Below are 25,810 nucleotides of genomic sequence, written 5' to 3'. Positions count from 1 at the left end.
AGCGTTGCAGCGGTCCCACTTCTGCTTGCTGGAGTCCCTAAGTCCCTGGCCTTGCCGAGGGCCTTCCCCTATGGAGGTCTTTCCCGTTTTGGCATTGCGCAAGGCCTGCAGCTGCCTCCCTGACCAGCCTCTGGGTTGGACAGTAGAGCTGAGGCTTTGGGAAAGAGGAAGCAGCCCCTGATACGGGATCCTTCTCTCTTGAGCCGGCAGAGCCCTGGGGAGCCAGCTGCACCAGGAGCTCTTGGCCGTCCTTCCTGTTCTCCTCTCCGCAGGTCCAGCACCGCCGCAGCCACTTCCTTCTGTGGAGCAGGTACCCCTGTCCCTGGTCCCTGGGCCCAGAGGGTGAGTGGAGCATTAGGAGCGGGGCTGGGCTGAAACTGGCTGAGCGGGATAGGGGCAGGGGTCGGGGGGGGGCTCCATCTGGGTGCGAGTGGTGGACCCCAAACCAACCCAAGTCCAAGACACTAATCAAAGATGGACTCAACTGAAACCCTTCCACCACCCCCAAATCCTTCCAACCTGCATCCCAATCCCAGTCCCGACCATCACCCTGCTCTGACCCTACCTCAGCCCCAGCCCCAGCCCCTATTCCAACCTTATCTCACCCTCACCTCACTTGCACCCCAACCCTAACCATTTACTCATCTCATCTAATCCCAACCATCCATCATCCCAACCCTAACCACAACTCCGACTCTATCATCCTCATCTCAACCCAGCCTCCACCGTATCTTAACCATCACCTGCACCCAACTCCAACCTTCACCCTTACCCCCACCCATCACTCAACCTCAATGTCCACCCCAATCCCAGCCTTAATTTGCTTCCAGAATTCCAACCTGATCATCACCCTGACCTCAGCCCCAGCCCAGCCCAACGATAATCTCTCCTTACTCTAACCCCAGCACAATTCCACTTCATCCATCACCACTTCGTCCGTCCACAGGAGGGCTTCTGGTGCTGTCCAGCACAGTTTGGAGAGTGAGCACTCCAGCCAGAAGCATTTAGAGCCAGATTAAGGAATGAAGTGTGAAATTTCTACTGCCCATGTCAAAGCCAATAAGCATTAGTTATGGATTCTATGGCTCTGAGAATTAAACATTTGGCCTGTGATTGGGGATTTCCACTATTTTGACCATAATCTGCTCCAGGAATTGCCCATCCGTACCCTGACTCCCTATCTGTGGGCCAGTAACCTCCAGCTGGCCATGTCACCCTGTGTTCTTCCTTCTCTAGCCCAATGGGGAAGTTGGGGAGAAGCCTTGGTGTCAGGAAACAGAAACTGAATCCTACACCCGGGCCTAGCTGTCCATAGGGAAACTGCCTCTGCCCTTTCTTCCCCAGCTAAACTTGGCCTCTGGAATCAGAGGTCAGGGACTTGGGGCCCCAGCCAACCCTCCAAGACCTCCTGAGGCACTTGGTCTCAAACAGGCAGCAAACGTGAGTGCCCACTGTGTACCAGGCCAGCTCAAGCCACCCTGATGCAACACATACCAATAGTAGGAGTGGGGATTTAAAATCCTGTCTTCAGAGCACCCAAGACTTGGAGACCCAAGTATGAACCTCAGGAACCTCCTGTCTGGGGAACAATGATTTCCAAAAGAGTCACCCAAGGGAGGGATGGTTCAGGGCTGCAGAGCTGCCTGCTCCCTGTTGCTGGCACACCGCCCCCTTTCCCGGGACCCGCAATTCCCCCTCGACCACCAGGGGGCGCTGCGTGCTCACTAGGCCACAGCTGCAACCCAAGTTGCGGGGGGCGGGGGGCGGGGCACTGTCCCCTCAACTCCAGGCTTTCAAACAGGGACAGAGATCTCCTTTCTGAGCGGTCCCTGCTCTTTCTGTTTCCAGAACAGTTATCTGGGCTGAAGCTGGCCTTTGTGGTGACAGGCTGAGCCAATAGGCTGGATTCCGGTGGGGCTGACCCCTTTGGGGTTAGGGCCGGGCTAAGCATAGGTGGCCTCTACATTATGTGATGGGAGTGGTCCTGGAAAGGGTCCTCCCCCGCGCCCTGTTCCAGGGTCGCTGTGTCCAGAACCCCACCATTCTTCCATCAGGTTCACGATTGCCCTTTTCAGGACCCCAAATGGGAGGAACAGGGGAGCTGGGACAAGATAGCTGCCCTGGCCATAGCAGAGCTGACCCTGACATCCCCTGTGGCCAGGGACACATCTGACCCCCAGTGTGCCCAGCAGGCTGCTTTTCTTCACGGTGAGGTGTCCAGGTCCCAGGGCCCCAGCTATATCATTCTCCAGTGGCCAAGAACCTGGTGTGGAGGCTGGGGGTGCATCTTCCCAGAAGAGGAGGAGGCCTAGGGCTTCCTAGAGAACTGGAGATGAGCCCTTGGGCCTCCATAAATGGCCAGATCAGTCCACTCCAGCAGCCTGCGAGAGGGCTGGGTCCCCTGGGGAGCGGTGTCCTTCCTGTCCCAATCCCGCCCTGTACTGTGCCCCCTGCTGGGGCACCTTCTGCCTTCTGCAGCAGGCTAAGTCCCACCTGGTCAGCCTGACTGGCCCTGGGCCTCGGCTCACCCCCTTCCCAGGTGTGACCCCTGGTAGTCATTGGAATCTGCTGAGCCCAGCCCCTGAGGCGGATGGGCTGGGAGCTGGGAGGTCATGAGTTTCCTGTCCCCACTTCCAGCCTCCTCGTTCACTTGGCCAAGTCAGCATTTAGGACCAGGGAGGATTGCAAAGTTGGCAACATGGGTGTGTATGTGGTGAAATATACATAATGTAAAATTTACTGTTTTAACTGTCTTTAAGTGTACACCCCATGACATTAGGTACATTTGCAATATTGTGTAACCATCACCACTATTTCCAGAACTTTTTCATTATCTGAGAGACTCAGCAATCATTAAACATTAGCTCCCCCTCCCTGCAGCCCCTGGTTACCTCTATCCTATTCTACTTTCAGTCTCTGAATATACGTAGTCTAGATATTTCATGTAATTGGAACCCTACAATATTTGCCCTTTTGTGTCTGGCTGGTTTCACTGAGCATAATGTTTTCAAGGTTCACATATGTTAGAATTCATTCCTCCTTATGGCCGATTGATATTCCATTGTATGTACATACCACAGTTTGTTTATCCACATCCATTCACTGATGGACACTTGACCTGTTTCCACCTTTTAGTGGAATAGTGCTGCCGTGAACATTGGTGTACTCTGTTAGAGTCCCTGTTTTCAGTACTTTTGGGTATATACCTAGGAGTGGAATTGCTGGATCATATGGTAATCCTATGTTGACTTTTTGAGGAATGACCCAATTGTTTTCCACAGTGACGGAACCATTTTATATTCCCACCAGCAATACACAAGAATTTCAACTTCGCATCCTCACCAATATTTATTGTTTTCTGTGTTGCTTTGTTTGTTTGTGAATAGCCATTCTAACGGATGTGAAGTGGTATCTCACTGTGGTTTGGTTTTGATTTGCATTTCCTAATGCCTAGTGATGTTGAGCATCTTTTCATGTCCTTATCAGCCAGTTATATATCTTCTTTGAAGAAATGTTTATTCAAGTGTTTTGCCCATTTTTGGAGTTGGATTTCATGGTTTTTTTGGTGGTTGTTGTTGTTCATTGTAGGAATTCTTTATATATTCTGGATATTAGTCCTTTATCAGATAAATGATTTACAAATATTTTCTCCCATTCTGTGGGTTGTCCTCCTTTTATTCACTCTCTGGATAGTGTCCTTTGATTCATATCCTTTTTTTTTTTTTTTTTTTTTGAGACAGAAGAGTCTCACTCTGTCACCAGGCTGGAGTACAGTGGCGTGATCCTGGCTCACCGTGACCTCCGCCTCCTGGGTTCAGGTGATTCTCCTGCCTCAGCCTCCCGAGTAGCTAGGACTAGAGGTGCACACCACCACACCCAGCTAATTTTGTATTTTTAGTAGAGACGGGGTTTCACCATGTTGGCCAGGATGGTCTCAATCTCTTGACCTTGTGATCTGCATGCCTCAGCCTCCCAAAGTGCTGGGATTACAGGCGTGAGCCACCGCACCCAGCTGTTGTTTGTTCTTTTCAGACAGGGTCTTGCTCTGTCACCCAGGCTGGAGTGCAGTGGTGCAATCATGGCTCACTGCAGCCTCGACCCCTCCCCTGGGCTCAAGCGATCTTCCCACCTCAGCCTCCAGAGTAGCTGGGACCACAGGCCTGTTTTTTAATTTTTCGTAGAGACAGAGTCTTGCAGTATTGCCCAGGCTCGTCTTGAACTCCTGGGCTAAAGTGATCCTCCTGCCTCAGCCTCCCAAAGTGTTGGGTTCACAGGCATGAGCCACTGTGTCTGGCCAAGTTTTAAATTTTGATGAAGTCCAACTTACCTATTTTTTTTTTTCGTGCTTTTAATTTCATACTTAAGAAAGCATTGCCTAATCCAAGGTCATGAAGATTTTCACCTGTTTTCTTCTAAGAGTTTTATAGTTTCACTTATATGTGTTTCTGGCATCTCTTCCTTTTGGGCTCAGGTCTATGGTACCCCTTAGACACTCCCTGACCAGGGGCACTCCATGGTTGAGGGCCTGCCTTTTTGGATATGGTACACTCCGCACACATTGAGCTCATATTTGTGGGGTATGTGTTCCACAGCGCTCTCATGCTACCTTTCAAACCTAGACTTGCCTTGCCACCTCCCCACTCCAACTCTGAACCTCAGCTCTGAACCCCTAAAGACCTCACCCCTCTCTTAGTCACTAAGGGGTTTGCTGAATGCCTGGTAGGCTCCGCACTGCTATGGGGCACATATCTTCAGTTCTAGGTCCTGAGAAATGGGCTCTCACAAGCTGTAAAAAACAAGGCAAGGAAAATAGAGATAGCTCTGGGGTAGCTACAGGAACCTCAAAGGAGAAGTTCCAGCTGGAAGCCAAATTCATGCTGCTCCTTGAAGGTTGAATAAGGTTTCAGCAGGCAAAGATTATCTGTGGTGGAGATAGAGCTGGGCAGCTAGGGAGCCCTTGAGCAGACAGAACTGCCCCCAGAGTGGGTCTGCGGAGAGCAGGGAATGGGGACAGAGCTGGGGGCAGGAAATGAGGACTTTTCACATCTCACGGGCAATGGGGAGCCACAGAAGGTTTTTGAGCAGGGGAGTGACTGTTAAAGGCAGCACTTCGGCAAGTTCAGTAAAGCCCCATTATGGTCTATAGTTAGTAAGGCAGGTGGTAGGAGACAAGCCTCAGGAAGAAACCATCATTCTAGCTGGGTGTCTTGGAGTGAGTAACTGGGCATCTCTGGGCTCCAGTTCCTGTTGGTTTGGGTGGTGGGGAGGGGGCAGGGAAGTGGGGAAGAGGGAGAAACAGCTGTTCATCTGCCTTAGGGTGGTATCCTTGAGGGGCTGGGAAAGCAGAACTTGGGATAGGGCCAAGGGACACACAGGCTTTTCTGAGGCAGGCCACCAAGTGAGGGCATTCCTGGGCACAGCCTGAGCTGGGAACGTGGCCTCCTGGCTCTCTGCTGGTGTCTGACTCAGAGGTCTTTAAGAGCCCTGCCCTCTTATTGGGTTGGCCAGCAGAGGAGGTGGGGACACAGGCTCGGACTTCTAGCAGGTGCTGGGGCTAAAGTGCCCAGAGGTGTCCCTGGAGGCCCCTGTGAGCCCAGCCAGCGCAGTGCGCACCACCCTCTTAGGCAACAGGAGCAGCACAAGAACCTGCTATGGGCTTCTTGCCCAAGCTTCTCCTCCTGGCCTCATTCTTCCCAGCAGGTAAGCTTTGCGGGCCTAGTGCCTGTCTTCCAGGGTCCAGCCTTCATAAGTCCAGCCCTTGGCAGATTAGACTATGCCTGGGTCACATGTTTGGTTGCTGAGGTCAAGGGAGGGCCCAATCGGGCAGTGGCCAGGAGCTGGGCAGGAAGCTGCCATCTGTCTTCGAGCCACCCTACCAAACCTCTGAGCAGCCTCGGGCAGTGGACTGACCCCTGGGGCACTGAGAAGGGCTGCTCTAAGTGTGCATTTCTCGGGGCAGGGCAGAATTTGGGAGCCCAGCTGGGGCACCTTCTCTGGGGCAGGTCGCAGGGCTCTGTGGCACCCTGAGGCCTGTATCACCCTCCCCTCTGTCCCCCTGCCGTTCTTCCCCCAGGCCAGGCCTCATGGGGCGTCTCCAGTCCCCAGGACGTGCAGGGTGTGAAGGGGTCTTGCCTGCTTATCCCCTGCATCTTCAGCTTCCCTGCCGACGTGGAGGTGCCCGACGGCATCACGGCCATCTGGTACTACGACTACTCGGGCCAGCGGCAGGTGGTGAGCCACTCGGCGGACCCCAAGCTGGTGGAGGCCCGCTTCCGCGGCCGCACCGAGTTCATGGGGAACCCCGAGCACAGGGTGTGCAACCTGCTGCTGAAGGACCTGCAGCCCGAGGACTCTGGTTCCTACAACTTCCGCTTCGAGATCAGTGAGGTCAACCGCTGGTCAGATGTGAAAGGCACCTTGGTCACAGTAACAGGTGATAAGTGGGGTGGCCTGGCTGCCCCCCGGGAGGGATTCCCAAGCTGCTTCTGGACCCCTTGGCTCTCAGCCCCAGCCCTTGTCCTGAATCTAACCCCAGCCAGTCTCAGCCTCTGTTCCAGCCCCGGCGTAGGCCCAGGCCTGGTTCTCCCTTGTATTCACCCAAGTGGGGCTGGAGTAGAAAGCGTCTTTCCTTCCCCTAAAAGCCCCCTCCCCAGGGCTCTCTCCTCAGCTGGGGTTTCCAGGGCGAGGGATCTCAGGGGTGGCAAAAGCGGGTCCTGAGCACTGCTGTCTCTGTCCTCAGAGGAGCCCAGGGTGCCCACCATTGCCTCCCCGGTGGAGCTTCTCGAGGGCACAGAGGTGGACTTCAACTGCTCCACTCCCTACGTATGCCTGCAGGAGCAGGTCAGACTGCAGTGGCAAGGCCAGGACCCTGCTCGCTCTGTCACCTTCAACAGCCAGAAGTTTGAGCCCACCGGCGTCGGCCACCTGGAGACCCTCCACATGGCCATGTCCTGGCAGGACCACGGCCGGATCCTGCGCTGCCAGCTCTCCGTGGCCAATCACAGGGCTCAGAGCGAGATTCACCTCCAAGTGAAGTGTGAGTTGTCTGGGGACACACCCTTGTGGCTGAGCGCATCTGTTGCTCCTGACAGAAACCAGCCCCTCTCCAGCCCACAGAAACGGAACCCTTGCTCCTGATGCAAAACCAGGCTGCTCCTGGGCCTCCAGGGTAGGGCAAGTGGAGAGACACTGCTGAGCCCCAAGGACTTCGTTAAATGGTTCCCTCCACCTCCTACTGCTTCGAAGGGGCTTGTCCTTGAGGCCAGGCTGGGCAGAGAAAGGGAGACACAAAGGGTTGGGGAACAGGAGCTCCCATGCAGCTTCAGGGTTGGCAGCAAGTGCCCCGGGATTTACCCCGTGCTGGAGGATGCTGGGGAGGTGGGATTTATCCCTTTCCTGCCTGGCTCTGTTTTCTCAGTCTATGACGAAGATAACAATAGATGGTTCCTGTCTCACAGATTTATGATAAAAATTAAAGGAGATGGGCCGGGCGCGGTGGCTTATGCCTGTAATCCCATCACTTTGGGAGGCTGAGGCGGGTGGATCACTTGAGGCCAGGGATTCAAGACCAGCTTGGCCAACATGGTGAAACCTCGTCTCTACTAAAAATACAAAAATTAGCCGGGTGTGGTGGCATATGCCTGTAATCCCAGTTACTAAGGAGGCTGAGGCACTAGGATTGCTTGAACCCCGGGGGTGGAGTTGTATTGAGTTGTGATTGTGCCACTGCACTCCAGCCTGGGTGACAGAGTGAGACTGTGTCTCAAACAAAAAACAACAACAACAACAAAAACAAATAAAGGAGATGACCCAGGTCAAGGATTTAGAAGAGTGCCTGGCACATATTAAACACTTGAGGCCGGATACAGTGGCTCACACCTGTAACCCCAGTGCTTTGGGAGGCCAAGGCAGGAGAATTGCTTGAGGCAAGGAGTTCGAGACCAGCCTGGGCAACATAGTGAGACCCTGTCTCTACAAAAAAATTAAAAAACAAAAATTAGCTGGATGTGGTGGCTTGCACCTGTAGTCCCAGTTCCTCGGGAGGCTGAGGCAGGAGGATCACTTGAGCCCAGGAGTTTCAGGCTGCAGTGAGCTATGATTGTGCCTCTGCACTCCAGCTTGGCTGACTGAGCCAGATCCTCTTTCTAAAAAAATAAGAATAAAACACTTGAATACACAGAGAGAGGCTTTGGAACAAGATTTAAGGAAATGCAGTTCTTTGTGTTGTTGGCCTCTTGCTTACAAACTGGGTAACTATTTTCAGAGCTAGTTTGATGCTGCCTTTGGCCCCCTCCCACTAGGTAGTTGGTCCCTTACCAATAGCTTCCACAGGCCACTAAAGCTAGCAGTGGGGTACCCATGACCCTGTGTGTGGAGCTCATCCCAAATAGAGCAGGAGCAATGGACAGCATTGGGAAGCAGAAAACTACAGCTGGTGGGGTAGGCTGGACGCTGGCCAAGCGTCACATGATCAGCTCTCAATGGGCATAGGAATGCATCAGGCGCAGGGGGCGGGAAAGGGACGGACATGGGCAGACAGAGCATGCCCTGGGTGAGGATTGAAGGGGACTGCTGTTTTATCTGGGCATACTTCCTTAGGACTGAGCTTTTAAAGGGGGGCAAGAAGAAGTGTGCCATCCTCTGCCCTCCCCAAGCACCTTACCCAATACCCCCTACTGTGACTTGCAGATGCCCCCAAGGGTGTGAAGATCCTCCTCAGCCCCTCGGGGAGGAACATCCTTCCAGGTGAGCTGGTCACACTCACCTGCCAGGTGAACAGCAGCTACCCTGCAGTCAGTTCCATTAAGTGGCTCAAGGATGGGGTACGCCTCCAAACCAAGACTGGTGTGCTGCACCTGCCCCAGGCAGCCTGGAGCGATGCTGGCGTCTACACCTGCCAAGCTGAGAACGGCGTGGGCTCTTTGGTCTCACCCCCCATCAGCCTCCACATCTTCAGTGAGTTCTTGGGAAGGTTGCGTATTGGCCAGAGAATAGGGAGGAGCTCAGGCCTCAGGGACGGAGGGGAGACAGGGCAGGGCAGGGCCAGCAACTGGCATAACCCAGTGCTTCCTGGATGCAGGTGTGGAGTCCCAGCCCTGCCTTACCATGAGACAGGTGACAATACCCCCACGAAGGGTGGGGTGTCAGGGGGATCCTGGTGAGCAGGACAAAGAGATGCAGAGCACTCCAGGAGGCTCCCCTGTAGCAGCAGGCGGGTGGTGTAGGATGTGCAGAGATTGAGGCTGATTGGCTGAGACCCGGGGACTGTATGGGGCTGGGGCTGGAAGTTGGCTGGGACCCCCCAGCACTCCCTATGCTGCCCTTGCAGTGGCTGAGGTCCAGGTGAGCCCAGCAGGTCCCATCCTGGAGAACCAGACAGTGACACTAGTCTGCAACACACCCAATGAGGCACCCAGTGATCTCCGCTACAGCTGGTACAAGAACCATGTCCTGCTGGAGGATGCCCACTCCCATACCCTCCGGCTGCACTTGGCCACTAGGGCTGATACTGGCTTCTACTTCTGTGAGGTGCAGAACGTCCATGGCAGCGAGCGCTCGGGCCCTGTCAGCGTGGTAGTCAACCGTAAGAGGCCAGGGTGGGGTGGCACTGGACACAGTCAGAGCAGGACCAGATGGTGGAGCCCCAAGGAAGGGTTGGGGTCCTGGGCATGGGAACTTCAAGGCCACTTACCTGGAGGTGGCCTTGAGCTCATGTCCCAGCTCTGCACACCTGGGCAATGCTTTGACCTCCCTAGTTCCCTCCTATTTTATATTTGGAAGTTTAAACTTATGAAAAGTTGCAGAGAAAGACAAATAATGATTATATACCTTTAACCTAGATTTCCCATTTATTAACATTTTGGCACATTTGCTTAATCTTTCTCGCTGTCTACACAGACACACACACGCACATACATACATATAAATGTATGGATATAGACTTGCATATATACAGGTGCACTTGTGTGTATGCACATCCACTCTATGTGGACATGTGCACTTATACATATATGGACACTCTATATACATATGCATATGTTATTTATGTATCTACCTACATATTTATATTCCTGAAGTTGCAGACATGAGGCTTCTTTACCGCTAAATTCCTAAGATCATTCTCTTACATATCCACAATGCAATGATCATGATCAGGAAAATTAGCATTGATAGAAGACTTTTTTTTTTTTTTGAGATGGAGTCTCACTGTGTTGCCCAGGCTGGAGTGCAATGGTGCTATCTTGGCTCACTGCAATGTCCGCCTCTGGGGCTCAAGCGATTCTCCTCCTGCCTCAGCCTCCTGAGTAGCTGGGATTACAGGCACCCACCATCCTGCCTGGCTAATTTTTGTGTTTTTGTAGAGACAGGGTTTCACCATGTTGGCCAGGATGGTCTTGAACTCCTGACCTCACGTGATCCACCTACCTCGGCCTCCCAAAGTACTGGGATTACAGGTATGAGCCACTACACCTGGCTGATAGAAGACTGTTATCTAAGCTATAATCTATATTCACATTTTACCAGTGGACCTAATACTGTCTTTTGTAGCCATTTTTTTTCTGGTCCAGAATACAATCACAGTTCACATATTGCATTGGGTCGTTGCGTCTCTTCATTCTCCGTTAGTCTGAGACTGTTCCTCAGTCTTTCCTTGTCATTCTTGACATTGAAACTTGCAGAGTGCAGGCCTGCTGTTCTGAGGAGGTCCCTCACTCCACATTTGCCTGACTTGAATGGCCTGAGACCATGCCCTCTGGGTGGGAAGGCCGCGGACATGCTGCTCTGCCCTGTCAGGAGGCACTCTGTGTCAGCTTGTCCCATTGCTGATGATGCTCACTTTGGTCACCTGGCTGAGGTGCTGTCCCTCACCAGGTCTCTCTATTAGTTTTCTCATCTTTGAAGTGGGGCTTTTATCCCCACTTGCAGGGTGGCCTTGAACACTGACTGGGACAACAGAGTGACGTACCCAGCCCAGCCAAGGACAAAAGTGTATTCAGCAGGCACTCAGGCACTTTGGGATCACCCCCTTCTCACAGGGCAGTGTGGGACAAAGCGGTGCAGAGGTCACGGGTTGTATCAGGGTATCCAGGGAATGCCCTTGTCTGAGGGTGACAGGCCCACCTCTCGTCTCCACACAGACCCGCCTCTCACTCCAGTCCTGACAGCCTTCCTGGAGACCCAGGCGGGACTTGTGGGCATCCTTCACTGCTCTGTGGTCAGTGAGCCCCTGGCCACACTGGTGCTGTCACATGGGGGTCATATCCTGGCCTCCACCTCCGGGGACAGTGATCACAGCCCACGCTTCAGTGGTACCTCTGGTCCCAACTCCCTGCGCCTGGAGATCCGAGACCTGGAGGAAACTGACAGTGGGGAGTACAAGTGCTCAGCCACCAACTCCCTTGGAAATGCAACCTCCACCCTGGACTTCCATGCCAATGGTAAGATGGGCACTGGCAGCCAGGGAGAGTGGAGGGAGCCTGAGGAGGAGCCTGCTCCAGTCTGTTCCTTCTAGAAGTCTAGTGGACTCAACCGCAGGACTGAGCTAACTGGCTACGCCACATAAAAGACAGGGGCTGTGCAGTGACCCAACGGCAGAGCTTCCTGGAAGTCAAGGGAAAAAGGGAAACACAACAGGTCACATCATTCCTTTTGCACCTACCCTGACCCTAAACTTGGAGAGTCCCTCAGAAGCATTCATTGTTTTTTAATTATGAAACTCTGGGAGCAGGCTCTATGCTAGCAGTCAGATGTGGGAAGCCAAATAGAAAAGTAGGGTCTTCTGGCTGGGCGTGGTGGCTCACTCCTGTAATCCCAGCACTTTGGGAGGCCGAGGTGGGTGGATCACGAGGTCAAGAGATCGAGACCATCCTGGCCAACATGGTGAAATCCCATCTCTACTAAAAATACAAAAATTAGCTGGGCATGGTGGTGAGTTCCTGTAGTCCCAGCTACCTGGGAGGCTAAGGCAGGAGAATCGCTTGAACCCAGGAGGTGGAAGTTGTAGTGGGCCAAGATAGCGCCACTGCACTCCAGCCTGGGTGACAAGAGTGAGACTCTGTCTCAAAAAAAAAAAAAAAAAAAAGAAAAAGAAAAAAGAAAAGTACGGTCTTCCAACTTTCGGTATGTGCACTGTCCTTCCCTCCTCCTGAGGGCATGGTAGCTAATTGATCAAGCCAGGTTTTTCTTTTTGTTTTTTGAGATAGGGTGTTGCTCTGTTGCCCAGGCCGGAGTGCAATGGTATGTTCATGGCTCACTGCAGCCTCAAACTCCTGGGCTCAAGCCATCCTCCCATCTCAGCCTCCCAAATAGCTGAGACTACGGCCCATGTCACCACACCCAGCTAATTAAAAAAAAAAAATTGTGGCCAGGCATGGTGGCTCATGCCTGTAATTCCAGCACTTTGGGAGGCCGAGGCAGGCAGATCACCTGAGGTCAGGAGCTTGAGATCAGCCTGGCCAACGTGGTGAAACCCCGTCTCCACTAAAAATACAAAAATTAGCCGGGTGTGGTGGCGCACACCTGTGGTCCCAGCTACTAGGGAGGCTGAGGCAGGATAATTGCTTGAACCTGGGAGGCAGAGGTTGTAGCGAGCTGAGATTGCGCCACTGCACTCCAGCCTGGCTGACGGAGCAAGACTCCGTCTCAAAAAAAAAAAAAAAAAAAAAAAAAAAAAGCTGGCCACAGTGGCTCACACCTGTAATCCCAGCACTTTGGGAGGCTGAGGCGGGTGGATCACCAGAGGTCGGGAGTTCGAGATCTGCCTGGCTAACATGGTGAAACCCTATCTCTACTACATGTATAACATTAGCTGGGTGTGGTGGCACACCTGTAATCCCAGCTACTTGGGAGGCTGAGGCAGGAGAATCGCTTGAACCTGGGAGGCAGAGGTTGCAGTGAGCCAGGATCACACCACTGCACTCCAGCCTGGGAGACAGAGTGAGACTCAGTCTCAAAAAAAAAAAATTGTTTGAGATGGAGTCTCACTATGTTGCCTAGGCTGGTCTGGAACTCCTGGCCTCAAACGATCCTTCTGCCTCAGTCTCCCAAAGTGCTAAGATTACAGGCATGAGCTACCATGCCCAGCCAAGCCAGGTGTTGGACATAAGCCTGGGCTCTGGCTCTGAATCTTCAACCATGCTGCAGCCATCTACTACCAATAGATCTGATTTGGCATTAAAGGGCAAACCCTCCTGATGCACCACAAAGCCCAGAGCTACCTACAGTAGTGTGGGGAAAGGAGAACCCTGGAAGGCTTTCTATATAGGGCAGCATGTGGGGTTGAGAGGAGGGACCCTTCCCAGCCTCTTCCTCTCCCCGCAGCCGCCCGTCTCCTCATCAGCCCGGCAGCCGAGGTGGTGGAAGGACAGGCAGTGACACTGAGCTGCAGAAGCGGCCTAAGCCCCACACCTGATGCCCGCTTCTCCTGGTACCTGAATGGAGCCCTGCTTCACGAGGGTCCCGGCAGCAGCCTCCTGCTCCCCGCGGCCTCCAGCACTGACGCCGGCTCATACCACTGCCGGGCCCGGGACGGCCACAGTGCCAGTGGCCCCTCTTCGCCAGCTGTTCTCACTGTGCTCTGTGAGCAGCCACCACCTGTTGCAGCCTCCTGCCGGGACCCACCAGCCACCCCACCTCCTCTAGGCCCCCCAGCCCTGTCCTGCCCTGCCCCACGGTCTATATCGGGAGGGCTGGGTCACAGACCTGGCCACAGTGGGTCTTTCCATGTGGGGCTGAAGTTTAGGAAATGAGGCTGGGGCCTTCTCTACCTCCCCATGTCTTTACCCTCCAATGCCAGCCCTGTGGGCTCCTCTGTCCCAGCCTCAAGCTCAGCATGGGCACCACATCCATGCTTTGTCCTCATGGGTGAGCCCTGGGACACCACACTCCTCTATTTGTGCACATGCCCCACAGGCTGTGCTGGGCTCCCATAGACACCAAGGCAAAGCCCCTCAGCACAGGGACAGACAGCCCCTCTGCATCCGCCAAGCGGGGAGGCTCCGTGTAAGACCAAGGGCCTGATTCCAGAGGCTTCCCCTGACACATGTGTGCCGGAGCCACGTCCCGGAACTGTCAGAGGGCAGCTGCCTCTGCAAAGTTTTCTGGTGTCTGAGTGAGATCACATGGGGGCCTTGGCTGATTGCTCTCTTTTGGCCAACTGTCTCCAGAAGCCTTCAGGAAGAGGCCATTCTATGCATTCGCTAGTATCACAGGAGCTGGCTTGGAGATCACAGATAAGCTGCAGGGCAGATCTTGAGGGGAGGCTCCGTGGTAAGGCATTGGGTGCAGGGTGGGAGCAGACAGCATGACCCCCAGGGATTGCTAGGTGGGCACCCTGCTCAGCAGCAGATGGGACTTATGCAAGGTGGCAGCCAGCCCATACAGCACCTTTGTCTGAGCTAGAAAATGGTGCTCCTTCTTCTGGGAAGACTCAGTAGGCATCAGGGCACAGCTTAGCTTGAGGAGCATGAGCCTAGCTTGAGTTCCACCCACCCTGGTCTGGCTGCCCTTGTGCAGTGCACAGTCTGCACAGCTGCTTGGGGCAGCCTTCGGGATCTGCCTTTGTCCAGTGTATTCTGGGAGCCTAGCCAGGCTTGTGGGGCCCTGGAGCATCCGTGGGATGAGTGCCCATGTTCTTCCTCCCTGCAGACCCCCCTCGACAACCAACATTCACCACCAGGCTGGACCTTGATGCCGCTGGGGCCGGGGCTGGACGGCGAGGCCTCCTTTTGTGCCGTGTGGACAGCGACCCCCCCGCCAGGCTGCAGCTGCTCCACAAGGACCGTGTTGTGGCCACTTCCCTGCCATCAGGGGGTGGCTGCAGCACCTGTGGGGGCTGTTCCCCACGCATGAAGGTCACCAAAGCCCCCAACTTGCTGCGTGTGGAGATTCACAACCCTTTGCTGGAAGAGGAGGGCTTGTACCTCTGTGAGGCCAGCAATGCCCTGGGCAACGCCTCCACCTCAGCCACCTTCAATGGCCAGGGTGAGTCAGGCAGGGAATGGGTGGCCTGGGGGCAGGGGCTGGAGCTCTGGACTGTTCTGCTCCGAGGAGGATCTAATCAGGCAAAACCACTCTGTGCAGCAGTGGGGGCCCTTCGCTGCCCTCCTCCACATTCAGGAAGAGCGGAGCTGCTCCTTCCCATGATCTCTGTTCAGGCCGGGGATAGGCAACACAGCTGGTCTCTGAGGAAGGACTCCCCAGCTGGGACAGTTGGGCTGCCTTGTCCTCCTTCCCTGTACTGCAACCCTCTCTGCCCAGGGCCCCCACAGTCCCCAGGGCCCACTTCTCCTAGGCTGCCCTGTGAGCTAGCTTGCTTTTCTCCCCAACCCTGTGGGCACCCCAGGGGGCCTCCTTCCTGCTCCTTCCAGGCTGGGCGGCTGGACCCCTGGCTCCTGGGGGCCGGGGGTGGTCAGTAAGCTGTGCCGCCTGCTCTCCAGCCACTGTCCTGGCCATTGCACCATCACACACACTTCAGGAGGGCACAGAAGCCAACTTGACTTGCAACGTGAGCCGGGAAGCTGCTGGCAGCCCTGCTAACTTCTCCTGGTTCCGAAATGGGGTGCTGTGGGCCCAGGGTCCCCTGGAGACCGTGACACTGCTGCCCGTGGCCAGAACTGATGCTGCCCTTTACGCCTGCCGCATCCTGACTGAGGCTGGTGCCCAGCTCTCCACTCCCGTGCTCCTGAGTGTACTCTGTGGGTGACTGGCATGGGCAGCCTGGGGACTTGGAGGGTGGAGGGGTGGTCTGGGGAGAAGCAGGGGCCGGGCTGGGGTTTGGGGAGGAAAGAGCATGGCTTAGGCTGTGTGTGTGGCAGGAGGTGGGGGACATAGTGTGGCAGTTGTAATGTGGTGAGCTAGGCTGGGTGGCCTCAGCTCCCTCTGTTCCTGCAGATCCCCCGGACCGTCCAAAGCTGTCAGCCCTCCTAGACATGGGCCAGGGCCACATGGCTCTGTTCATCTGCACTGTGGACAGCCGCCCCCTGGCCTTGCTGGCCTTGTTCCATGGGGAGCACCTCCTGGCCACCAGCCTGGGTCCCCAGGTCCCATCCCATGGTCGGTTCCAGGCTAAAGCTGAGGCCAACTCCCTGAAGTTAGAGGTCCGAGAACTGGGCCTTGGGGACTCTGGCAGCTACCGCTGTGAGGCCACAAATGTTCTTGGATCATCCAACACCTCACTCTTCTTCCAGGTCCGAGGTGAGTGTCAGTCTTCTGAAGATATGGTAGACTCTGATGCCCTGGGGACTACTCTGGTCAGACTTTGGGCTGGGTGCTGTGAATTTTGTGCAGAAATATGTCTTTTTCAGTCCTGGTAAGGGCAGTTTCCAGCCAGCAGAAGGCCTCCCTTTGCCTCCAGCTAGATATTTTCACCTGTAATAACTGCAGCAGCCACTAGGAGGCAATGGCAATTCACAGAGTGGCTTGCTTGGTGGGAGCACTTTCTGAAATAACTTGTTTTGTGATCATATAATTTTGTTACATAGTAAACATTCTCATACATATGTATATTTATATTATGCATATATGTTTATGTATGAGTATATACACATACAAATATACATTATGTGTATTCTTATGCATAATATATTCATATTCTTTATTTATATACACATACGTGTGTGTGTGTGTGTGTGTGTGTGTTTGTGTGTGTGTATATATATAGTCTCTATAAAAATCCTCCCTCAGGCCGGGCACCATGGCTCATGCCTGTAATCCCAGCACTTTGGGAGGCTGAGGCGGGCGGATCACTTGAGGTCAGGAGTTCAAGACCAGCCTGGCCAACACTCTACTAAAAATACAAAAATTAGCTAGGTGTGGTGGTGGGCATTTGTAATCCCAGTTACTCGGGAGGCTAAGGCAGGCGAATCGTTTGAACCTGGGAGATGGAGGTTGCAGTGAGCCAAAATTGTACTTCACTCTAGCCTGGATGACAGAGTGAGACTCTGTCTTAAAAAAAAAAAAATTCTCCCTAAACAAATAAACCAGGAAAAAGGAAAGATAATGCCCATAATGCGAAGGTCAAAGGAACATGAGTGTTTCTTCCACCACGGTGACCGACAGCACCAATTTTGGGACATTTACTTTGAGCCTTGGTTCTGTGTATCTTTTCTTACTTAGCATACCTATTTCGCAGGAAGAAATTGAAGGTTTGAGTTTTAGGAGCTTTTCCCCAGTTGCATGACCCTGCTAGCTGTGGTCTCAGGCATGGTCTGTGTTCTTGCTTAGCATTCCAGCTGTCCCTCCATCTCACTCCCTGCAACCTGGGGTTCTCCTGCTTCACACCCAGGGGCCACTGAGGAGCTGCCCTTTGCCTGGTCCCCAGGTCCTGTGCTCTTGTGGCCTGGAGTCTGGATGCAGGGCTGGCCTGGCGAGAGCGCTCAAGATAACATAGCTGCTAACATTCCCTTCCAAGCCCTCGGTCACCCATGCTGAGTCCAGATCCTAGTTAGGACAATGGCCCCGGGATGATCTAAATCCCTCCCTTTTCAGTACTTTATGGGTTGAACCAACATTTGTCAGGAGCTAACACATGCAGGCACAGTGCCTGGAACTGGGGTTACAGGTCACACAAGTCCAGTGCCCATAAGGCTTACGCTTTGGTAGGCGAGATATGACTGACACAGTAAAACCATCCCACCAGGTGGTGGGAGGTAAATGCCAGGATGGAGCCTGTGCAGGAGAGTGGGGAGCAGGAGGGGCCAAGGCATAGGGCTGAGTGGGCCCTGGCGGTGGTCTGGAAGGGGCTGCGGCTCCAGCACATGGGGTTGGGTTGTGTAGTCCTAGGTGGACACGCACATGGTCCCAGACTGTGAGAGGTGTGGTGGAGAGCCCTCACCTGCTCTTGGTTTTCCCCTGCAGGAGCCTGGGTCCAGGTGTCACCATCACCTGAGCTCCAAGAGGGCCAGGCTGTGGTCCTGAGCTGCCAGGTACACACAGGAGTCCCAGAGGGGACCTCATATCGTTGGTATCGGGATGGCCAGCCCCTCCAGGAGTCGACCTCGGCCACGCTCCGCTTTGCAGCCATAACTTTGACACAAGCTGGGGCCTATCATTGCCAAGCCCAGGCCCCAGGCTCAGCCACCACGAGCCTAGCTGCACCCATCAGCCTCCACGTGTCCTGTAAGGACTTTTGTCCCATCCAGGTGTGGGGGAAGGAATGCAGTCCCCCAGTCCTGGGCTGTGTCACATGACAGAGCCCTGGATGAGGGACCCCCCTGGCTGGGTCCTGACCACTCCCCACCCTGTGTAGATGCCCCACGCCACGTCACACTCACTACCCTGATGGACACAGGCCCTGGACGACTGGGCCTCCTCCTGTGCCGTGTGGACAGTGACCCTCCGGCCCAGCTGCGGCTGCTCCACGGGGATCGCCTTGTGGCCTCCACCCTACAAGGTGTGGGGGGACCCGAAGGCAGCTCTCCCAGGCTGCATGTGGCTGTGGCCCCCAACACACTGCGTCTGGAGATCCACGGGGCTATGCTGGAGGATGAGGGTGTCTATATCTGTGAGGCCTCCAACACCCTGGGCCAGGCCTCGGCCTCAGCTGACTTCGACGCTCAAGGTCAGTGTGTGTGTGTGTGTGTGTGTGTGTGTGTGTGTGTGTGTGTCCTTTAAAAGAGGAGAGGAGGTGGGACAGGGTTCTAGAAGCCTGGGGGCACGGGAATAGTCCCCATTCCCACCCTTCCTAACGATGGTGGACTCCAGACTTGAGTTTCTTAGGAGAACCTTTTATAAACACCAAATTTTACAAGTATGCCCAGTGGATAAAACTAAACAGGGAATTTCAGGAGAAAGTGCAGCAGGGGAGGGGAGGTCTGTGGTCTCCCCATTTGCCCCCAGCCAGGGTCAGGGAGGGGCTCAGGGCTTTCCAGGACTCTGTGGAACTCTACTTGGGACCACTCAGGAGCCAGTGGGCTATTCCCAAGCTTGACTTCTAAGCCACATTTATAGGTGGGCCACCCAAGGCTCCCAAAGGCCAAGGGGCTCCCCAGCAGTAGGAGTAGCTCACCCACATGGAGACAGGTGGCCTGCTGTACACAGCCTCAAGACCCTCACTGGTGTCCTGTGCCCTCCCTCTCCCCAGCTGTGAATGTGCAGGTGTGGCCCGGGGCTACCGTGCGGGAGGGGCAGCTGGTGAACCTGACCTGCCTTGTGTGGACCACTCACCCGGCCCAGCTCACCTACACATGGTACCAGGATGGGCAGCAGCGCCTGGATGCCCACTCCATCCCCCTGCCCAACGTCACAGTCAGGGATGCCACCTCCTACCGCTGCGGTGTGGGCCCCCCTGGTCGGGCACCCCGCCTCTCCAGACCTATCACCTTGGACGTCCTCTGTGAGTCTGGCTGGATGCAGGGTGGGACTCACAGGAATGACAGAAGCCCACAGGGATCACGGCATGGCCGGAACCCGACAGGTGTCCAGTGGGGAACTCGGTACCCAGTAGCTAGTGGAGCACTGGGCAAGGAGCATTAAGAGTAGGGGGCGCTGGGGTGAGTCCTGTCTGGGCAGAGGAGCAGTGCCTCAGACTGGGTGGTTGGGAGCCATAGGGGTGGGGAGCCAGGGCCCTCCTGAGTTTGAATGCCACCTGCAAACTGGCCTCCTGCAGGCTGCTGCCTGTGACTCCGTGTAAGCCTCTCATGCCCTGCAGACGCGCCCCGCAACCTGCGCCTGACCTACCTCCTGGAGAGCCATGGCGGGCAGCTGGCCCTGGTACTGTGCACTGTGGACAGCCGCCCGCCCGCCCAGCTGGCCCTCAGCCACGCCGGTCGCCTCTTGGCCTCCTCGACAGCAGCCTCTGTCCCCAACACCCTGCGCCTGGAGCTGCGAGGGCCACAGCCCAGGGATGAGGGTTTCTACAGCTGCTCTGCCCGCAGCCCTCTGGGCCAGGCCAACACGTCCCTGGAGCTGCGGCTGGAGGGTAAGGCAGGGCCTAGGCCAAGCCCACTGGGATGGAAGCCCACTGTGGTGTCCGGCTGGGCCCGGCTGATCCTGGCCTCCTTGGCACAGGTGTGCGGGTGATCCTGGCTCCGGAGGCTGCCGTGCCTGAAGGTGCCCCCATCACAGTGACCTGTGCGGACCCTGCTGCCCACGCACCCACACTCTATACTTGGTACCACAACGGTCGTTGGCTGCAGGAGGGTCCAGCTGCCTCACTCTCATTCCTGGTGGCCACGCGGGCTCATGCAGGCGCCTACTCTTGCCAGGCCCAGGATGCCCAGGGCACCCGCAGCTCCCGTCCTGCTGCCCTGCAAGTCCTCTGTGAGCAGAGGGTCCTTGGCCAGGGCTGCCCAGGAGGAGGGTGGTGGAGGGTGCTTCTGGGCTCTGGTGGGAGTGGGCAAAGGACTGCAGTGGGCCCAGGAATGGGCAGTTGGGGAAAGAGGACATAGGTGCTAGAGAAAGAGACAGTCCTATAAGCCCTGCCTGGAGCACTCTGCCCACAGGACTCCTGGGAAGGTGTCACTTCTAGGAAGTGGCCATTGGTCCAGAGGCCTCAGCCTGACCAACCCCAGGCAGCTAGGCAATGAGCAGTACAGGGTGCCTAAGCAAGGTCCCCATCTGTGCCCTGCCTGCCCACAGATGCCCCTCAGGACGCTGTCCTGTCCTCCTTCCGGGACTCCAGGGCCAGATCCATGGCTGTGATACAGTGCACTGTGGACAGTGAGCCACCTGCTGAGCTGGCCCTATCTCATGATGGCAAGGTGCTGGCCACGAGCAGCGGGGTCCACAGCTTGGCATCAGGGACAGGCCATGTCCAGGTGGCCCGAAACGCCCTACGGCTGCAGGTGCAAGATGTGCCTGCAGGTGATGACACCTATGTTTGCACAGCCCAAAACTTGCTGGGCTCAATCAGCACCATCGGGCGGTTGCAGGTAGAAGGTGAGTGGAAGAGAGGGGAGGAGGAGGGGCTCTGATGCTCTCAGGTCCAAGTCCACGAGAGGGGCTGGAGCTCCCACTAGAGCGGGCTGTCTGGTCTGAGAAAGCTCTGCCTTGAGAAGCCTAATCTGGTGGAGGGGGCACAGCTCCCACTGGAGGGGGCATGGTTCCACCTTGGAAAGCCCTATACCAAGTCAGACTGAGACCTTCCCACAATGTGCAGAGGCCCCTCAGAGGTCCCACCCAGAGGCTCCAGCCCCCAAGGCCTACAGATCCCCAATCATCTCTCTATCCTCCGCCCGCAGGTGCACGCGTGGTGGCAGAGCCTGGCCTGGACGTGCCTGAGGGCGCTGCCCTGAACCTCAGCTGCCGCCTCCTGGGTGGCCCTGGGCCTGTGGGCAACTCCACCTTTGCATGGTTCTGGAATGACCGGCGGCTGCACGCGGAGCCTGTGCCCACTCTCGCCTTCACCCACGTGGCTCGTGCTCAAGCTGGGATGTACCACTGCCTGGCTGAGCTCCCCACTGGGGCTGCTGCCTCTGCTCCAGTCATGCTCCGTGTGCTCTGTGAGTGTGAACCCCCTCCTCCGCCTTAGTCTCCCCACATCTCACACGCCCACCTCAGTTCTTCCTCCTCTTCTGTCTGCCAAGAGTGAAGGCTTCACGGATATTGAGTCCTGGGTTGGAATCCTGGCTCTCCCGCTGTCTGGTTGGGTGACCTTGTAAAATGGGGAATACATCATTCGCCTCATCCTGCAAGTTGTATAAGAAATAAATGGCTGGTGCAGGGGCTTATGCCTGTAATCCCAGCACTTTGAGAGGCTGAGGTGGGCGGATCACTTGAGGTCAGGAGTTCAAGACTAGCCTGGTCAATATGGCGAAACTCCGTCTCTACTAAAAATACAAGAATTAGCACGGCATGAAGGCACACACCTGTAATCCCAGCTATTCAGGAGGCTGAGGCAGGAGACTCACTTGAGCCTGGGAGGTGGAGGTTGCAGTGAGCCAAGATCACCACAACGCACTCCAGCCTGGGTGACAGACTGAGACTCTGTCTCAAGAAAAAAAAAAAAAAAAGAAAAGAAAAGAAGAGAAAAAACCAAAAGAAATAAAGCGTGCTGAGTGTGTCTGGCACACGATAAGCCCTCATCAGTCTTGGTCTCCCACTCCAGCCTTCACCAAGGCCTACACTGTATCAGTCAGCTATTGCTATTGACCACAACAAAACTTACTGCTTCAAACAAAAGTCATGTTATCTGCTCAATTCTGTGGGCTGGGCTCAGCTGGGGAGTTCTTCTGTTGTTCACACCTCATGTGGCTGCAGTTGCCCAGTGGTCTCAGATGACTGCACGCTCCTGGCTGCCAGTTGGGCCACATGTGCCCAGCAGGCTGGCCTGGGCTTCCCACATTGTTGTGTTCCAACAAGTAGAGCAGAAGCTACAAGGCCTCTTGAGGTCTGGCTCTGAAGTTGCACAACATCACTTCTTTCTTCAATTGGTCAAACTGAGTCACAGATTCAAGGAGTGAGGAAATAGGTTCTGCCTCTTAATGGGAGGAGCAGCAAAGTCACTGTGCATGGGTACAGGGAGGGAGAAATTTGTGGTCATTGTCTGCAATCACCACACTCCCTTCCTCCCCACAGACCCTCCCAAGACGCCCACCATGATGGTCTTCGTGGAGCCTGAGGGTGGCCTCCGGGGCATCCTGGATTGCCGAGTGGACAGCGAGCCGCTCGCCAGCCTGACTCTCCACCTTGGCAGTCGACTGGTGGCCTCCAGTCAGCCCCAGGGTGCTCCTGCAGAGCCACACATCCATGTCCTGGCTTCCCCCAATGCCCTGAGGGTGGACATCGAGGCGCTGAGGCCCAGCGACCAAGGGGAATACATCTGTTCTGCCTCAAATGTCCTGGGCTCTGCCTCTACCTCCACCTACTTTGGGGTCAGAGGTGAGGGGAGGGGGCTCCATCTCCCAGGCCACTCTGCACAAAAGCCCAGCTCTTAGGCCCAAAGGCTTCCTTCCCTGTATCCCTCCTGCTGCAGCATGATTTGCCTGTCGACTCTAAACTGATTGCTCGGGGCACCCTTGTGTGGAGAGCTTCAGCGATAAAGCAAAAGTTAGAAGGTGTCATCTTGGGTGGGTCCCCTTGGAAGGAAGCACTGGGGGCCTGCAGCTGTGGCTGCTCTGAGTCCCGCTCTGTGTTCCAGCCCTGCACCGCCTGCATCAGTTCCAGCAGCTGCTCTGGGTCCTGGGACTGCTGGTGGGCCTCCTGCTCCTGCTGTTGGGCCTGGGGGCCTGCTACACCTGGAGGTGGGTCTGGAGCTGGGAGTGGGCCAGAAGATTGGGGTAAGGCAGCCCACCTCGTCTTCTCCCCAAATTCCCCCAGGTCCTTTAGGACCTCCTATTAAGTTCACAGGCTGCCTACTTCCCAGACTGCCCCTCCAAATTGGAAATCCCTTCTAGAATTGTCCCTAAATCCTCCTTGCTGTAGTTTCCTTCTTTCCTCCTCTCTGCCCTGGCTGTGCTAAAGCAAGGGCTAGGGAGGAAGACAGAGGAAGCACCCACTCTCCATGAGGTTCCCACGCTCTTGTGGTCTGGAGCCAGCCTGTGGGGAGCGGGAGAGGAATGGGGGCAGGAGGTGGGGAGGGGAGAGGCTCTCTGAGTCCACTCCGGGCCTTGCAGAAGGAGGCGTGTTTGTAAGCAGAGCATGGGCGAGAATTCGGTGGAGATGGCTTTTCAGAAAGAGACCACGCAGGTATCCATTCAACACACACGGGCAGATATAATACCCAGCTAACCCACAGTGCCAACTGGCATCTGGAGACTGCTGTCATTTAGAGGATGGTGCCTGGGACCAAGGGGAGGTTGGGGAGAGTGTGCAGGGAACCAGGAGCCCCTCAGGAGATAGGAGAGCCCTGTTCTGCTCGGGGCAGAGGGAATCCCTGTGTCAGCTGGCGGCTGGCTTAGAGGACTAGGGGAGACTTTCTGGACTTGGCAGCATCCCCTCCATTTCCAAGACACGTATGTTCTGACTCCCCCACCTTTGTTCTGAGGCCTCTTCCCCACTCCCAAGCCTGCCCGTCACCTGGGCAGAAGTGAAAGTCAGTTTCTCCTCCCCTGTGGTGTGTCCCTTCTGCAGCTGATTCACCTGGTAGGCCAGGGCTCCAAGTCACACTTCCAGCCATGCACACTCCCACCAATCCTCTTGGGACCCCACCTGAGGCTGGGGGCCTGGGGGCCTGCCCTGGCTCCCAGAGGCCTCCTGTGACCAGGGTTTTCTCTGTGGGAAGCTCATTGATCCTGATGCAGCCACATGTGAGACCTCAACCTGTGCCCCACCCCTGGGCTGACCAGTGGTGTTGCCTGCCCTCCGGAGGAGAAAGTGGCCAGAATCTGTGATGACTCCAGCCTATGAATGTGAATGAGGCAGTGTTGAGTCCTGCCCGCCTCTACGAAAACAGCTCTGTGACATCTGACTTTTTATGACCTGGCCCCAAGCCTCTTGCCCCCCCAAAAATGGGTGGTGAGAGGTCTGCCCAGGAGGGTGTTGACCCTGGAGGACACTGAAGAGCACTGAGCTGATCTCGCTCTCTCTTCTCTGGATCTCCTCCCTTCTCTCCATTTCTCCCTCAAAGGAAGCCCTGCCCTTTCACATCCTTCTCCTCGAAAGTCACCCTGGACTTTGGTTGGATTGCAGCATCCTGCATCCTCAGAGGCTCACCAAGGCATTCTGTATTCAACAGAGTATCAGTCAGCCTGCTCTAACAAGAGACCAAATACAGTGACTTCAACATGATAGAATTTTATTTTTCTCTCCCACGCTAGTCTGGCTGTTACGATGGTTTATGATGTTGGGGCTCAGGATCCTTCTATCTTCCTTTTCTCTATCCCTAAAATGATGCCTTTGATTGTGAGGCTCACCATGGCCCCGCTTTGTCCACATGCCCTCCAGCCAGAAGAAGGAAGAGTGGAGGTAGAAGCACACCCATGCCCATGGTGGACGCAACTCAGAAGCTGCACAGGACTTTTCCACTCACTTCCCATTGGCTGGAGTATTGTCACATGGCTACTGCAAGCTACAAGGGAGACTGGGAAATGTAGTTTTTATTTTGAGTCCAGAGGACATTTGGAATTGGACTTCCAAAGGACTCCCAACTGTGAGCTCATCCCTGAGACTTTTGACATTGTTGGGAATGCCACCAGCAGGCCATGTTTTGTCTCAGTGCCCATCTACTGAGGGCCAGGGTGTGCCCCTGGCCATTCTGGTTGTGGGCTTCCTGGAAGAGGTGATCACTCTCACACTAAGACTGAGGAAATAAAAAAGGTTTGGTGTTTTCCTAGGGAGAGAGCATGCCAGGCAGTGGAGTTGCCTAAGCAGACATCCTTGTGCCAGATTTGGCCCCTGAAAGAAGAGATGCCCTCATTCCCACCACCACCCCCCCTACCCCCAGGGACTGGGTACTACCTTACTGGCCCTTACAAGAGTGGAGGGCAGACACAGATGTTGTCAGCATCCTTATTCCTGCTCCAGATGCATCTCTGTTCATGACTGTGTGAGCTCCTGTCCTTTTCCTGGAGACCCTGTGTCGGGCTGTTAAAGAGAATGAGTTACCAAGAAGGAATGACGTGCCCCTGCGAATCAGGGACCAACAGGAGAGAGCTCTTGAGTGGGCTAGTGACTCCCCCTGCAGCCTGGTGGAGATGGTGTGAGGAGCGAAGAGCCCTCTGCTCTAGGATTTGGGTTGAAAAACAGAGAGAGAAGTGGGGAGTTGCCACAGGAGCTAACACGCTGGGAGGCAGTTGGGGGCGGGTGAACTTTGTGTAGCCGAGGCCGCACCCTCCCTCATTCCAGGCTCATTCATTTTCATGCTCCATTGCCAGACTCTTGCTGGGAGCCCGTCCAGAATGTCCTCCCAATAAAACTCCATCCTATGACGCAA

At 55.3% G+C, this 25,810-nt stretch overlaps 1 protein-coding gene across 2 annotated transcripts, besides 2 other annotated features; it reads left to right on the top strand.

The window, feature by feature from the left end:
• Nucleotides 1-179: 179 nt before the first annotated feature.
• On the top strand, nt 180-25,810 carry SIGLEC1 (sialic acid binding Ig like lectin 1). 2 transcript variants are annotated; one of them, NM_023068.4, is made up of 22 exons: nt 180-310; nt 5,543-5,700; nt 6,074-6,433; nt 6,740-7,036; nt 8,689-8,955; nt 9,329-9,583; nt 11,139-11,438; nt 13,321-13,578; nt 14,647-14,982; nt 15,438-15,695; nt 15,892-16,194; nt 17,857-18,117; nt 18,248-18,559; nt 19,082-19,333; nt 19,649-19,918; nt 20,008-20,259; nt 20,578-20,877; nt 21,180-21,440; nt 22,516-22,818; nt 23,078-23,180; nt 23,553-23,625; nt 24,161-25,810. In NM_023068.4, exons 2-22 carry the CDS (start codon nt 5,652-5,654, stop codon nt 24,218-24,220), a joined length of 5,130 nt encoding a protein of 1,709 aa, NP_075556.1. In that variant the 5' UTR covers nt 180-310; nt 5,543-5,651; the 3' UTR covers nt 24,221-25,810. The 2 variants fall into 2 exon arrangements, with proteins under 2 accessions (NP_075556.1, NP_001354018.1); NM_001367089.1 differs by lacking the exons at nt 180-310; nt 23,553-23,625 and having other exon boundaries at nt 5,546-5,700.
• Nucleotides 10,844-11,138: an enhancer, noted in NCBI's record as "tiled region #3812; HepG2 Activating DNase matched - State 20:ReprD". NCBI's record gives its function as "activates a minimal TATA promoter and a strong SV40 promoter by Sharpr-MPRA in HepG2 cells {active_cell/tissue: HepG2}" and the evidence as "EXISTENCE:reporter gene assay evidence [ECO:0000049][PMID:27701403]".
• Nucleotides 14,423-14,922: an enhancer, noted in NCBI's record as "H3K4me1 hESC enhancer chr20:3678505-3679004 (GRCh37/hg19 assembly coordinates)". NCBI's record gives its function as "activates a minimal SCP1, AML or CMV promoter by ChIP-STARR-seq in primed H9 embryonic stem cells {active_cell/tissue: H9 hESC(primed)}" and the evidence as "EXISTENCE:reporter gene assay evidence [ECO:0000049][PMID:30033119]".

This window comes from Homo sapiens, chromosome 20 (assembly GCF_000001405.40).
Source record: "Homo sapiens chromosome 20, GRCh38.p14 Primary Assembly".
NCBI classification, from domain to species: domain Eukaryota; kingdom Metazoa; phylum Chordata; class Mammalia; order Primates; family Hominidae; genus Homo; species Homo sapiens.
This window is presented reverse-complemented; position numbering and strand designations above follow the sequence as displayed.

Coding starts and splice junctions, on each gene's coding strand:
- SIGLEC1 (NM_023068.4), top strand. CDS start 5,652: ATGGGCTTCTTGCCCAAGCTTCTCCTCCTGGCCTCATTCTTCCCAGCA. Junction 11,439..13,320: donor CCTGGACTTCCATGCCAATG/GTAAGATGGGCA, acceptor CTCTCCCCGCAG/CCGCCCGTCTCCTCATCAGC. Junction 15,696..15,891: donor CGTGCTCCTGAGTGTACTCT/GTGGGTGACTGG, acceptor CTGTTCCTGCAG/ATCCCCCGGACCGTCCAAAG.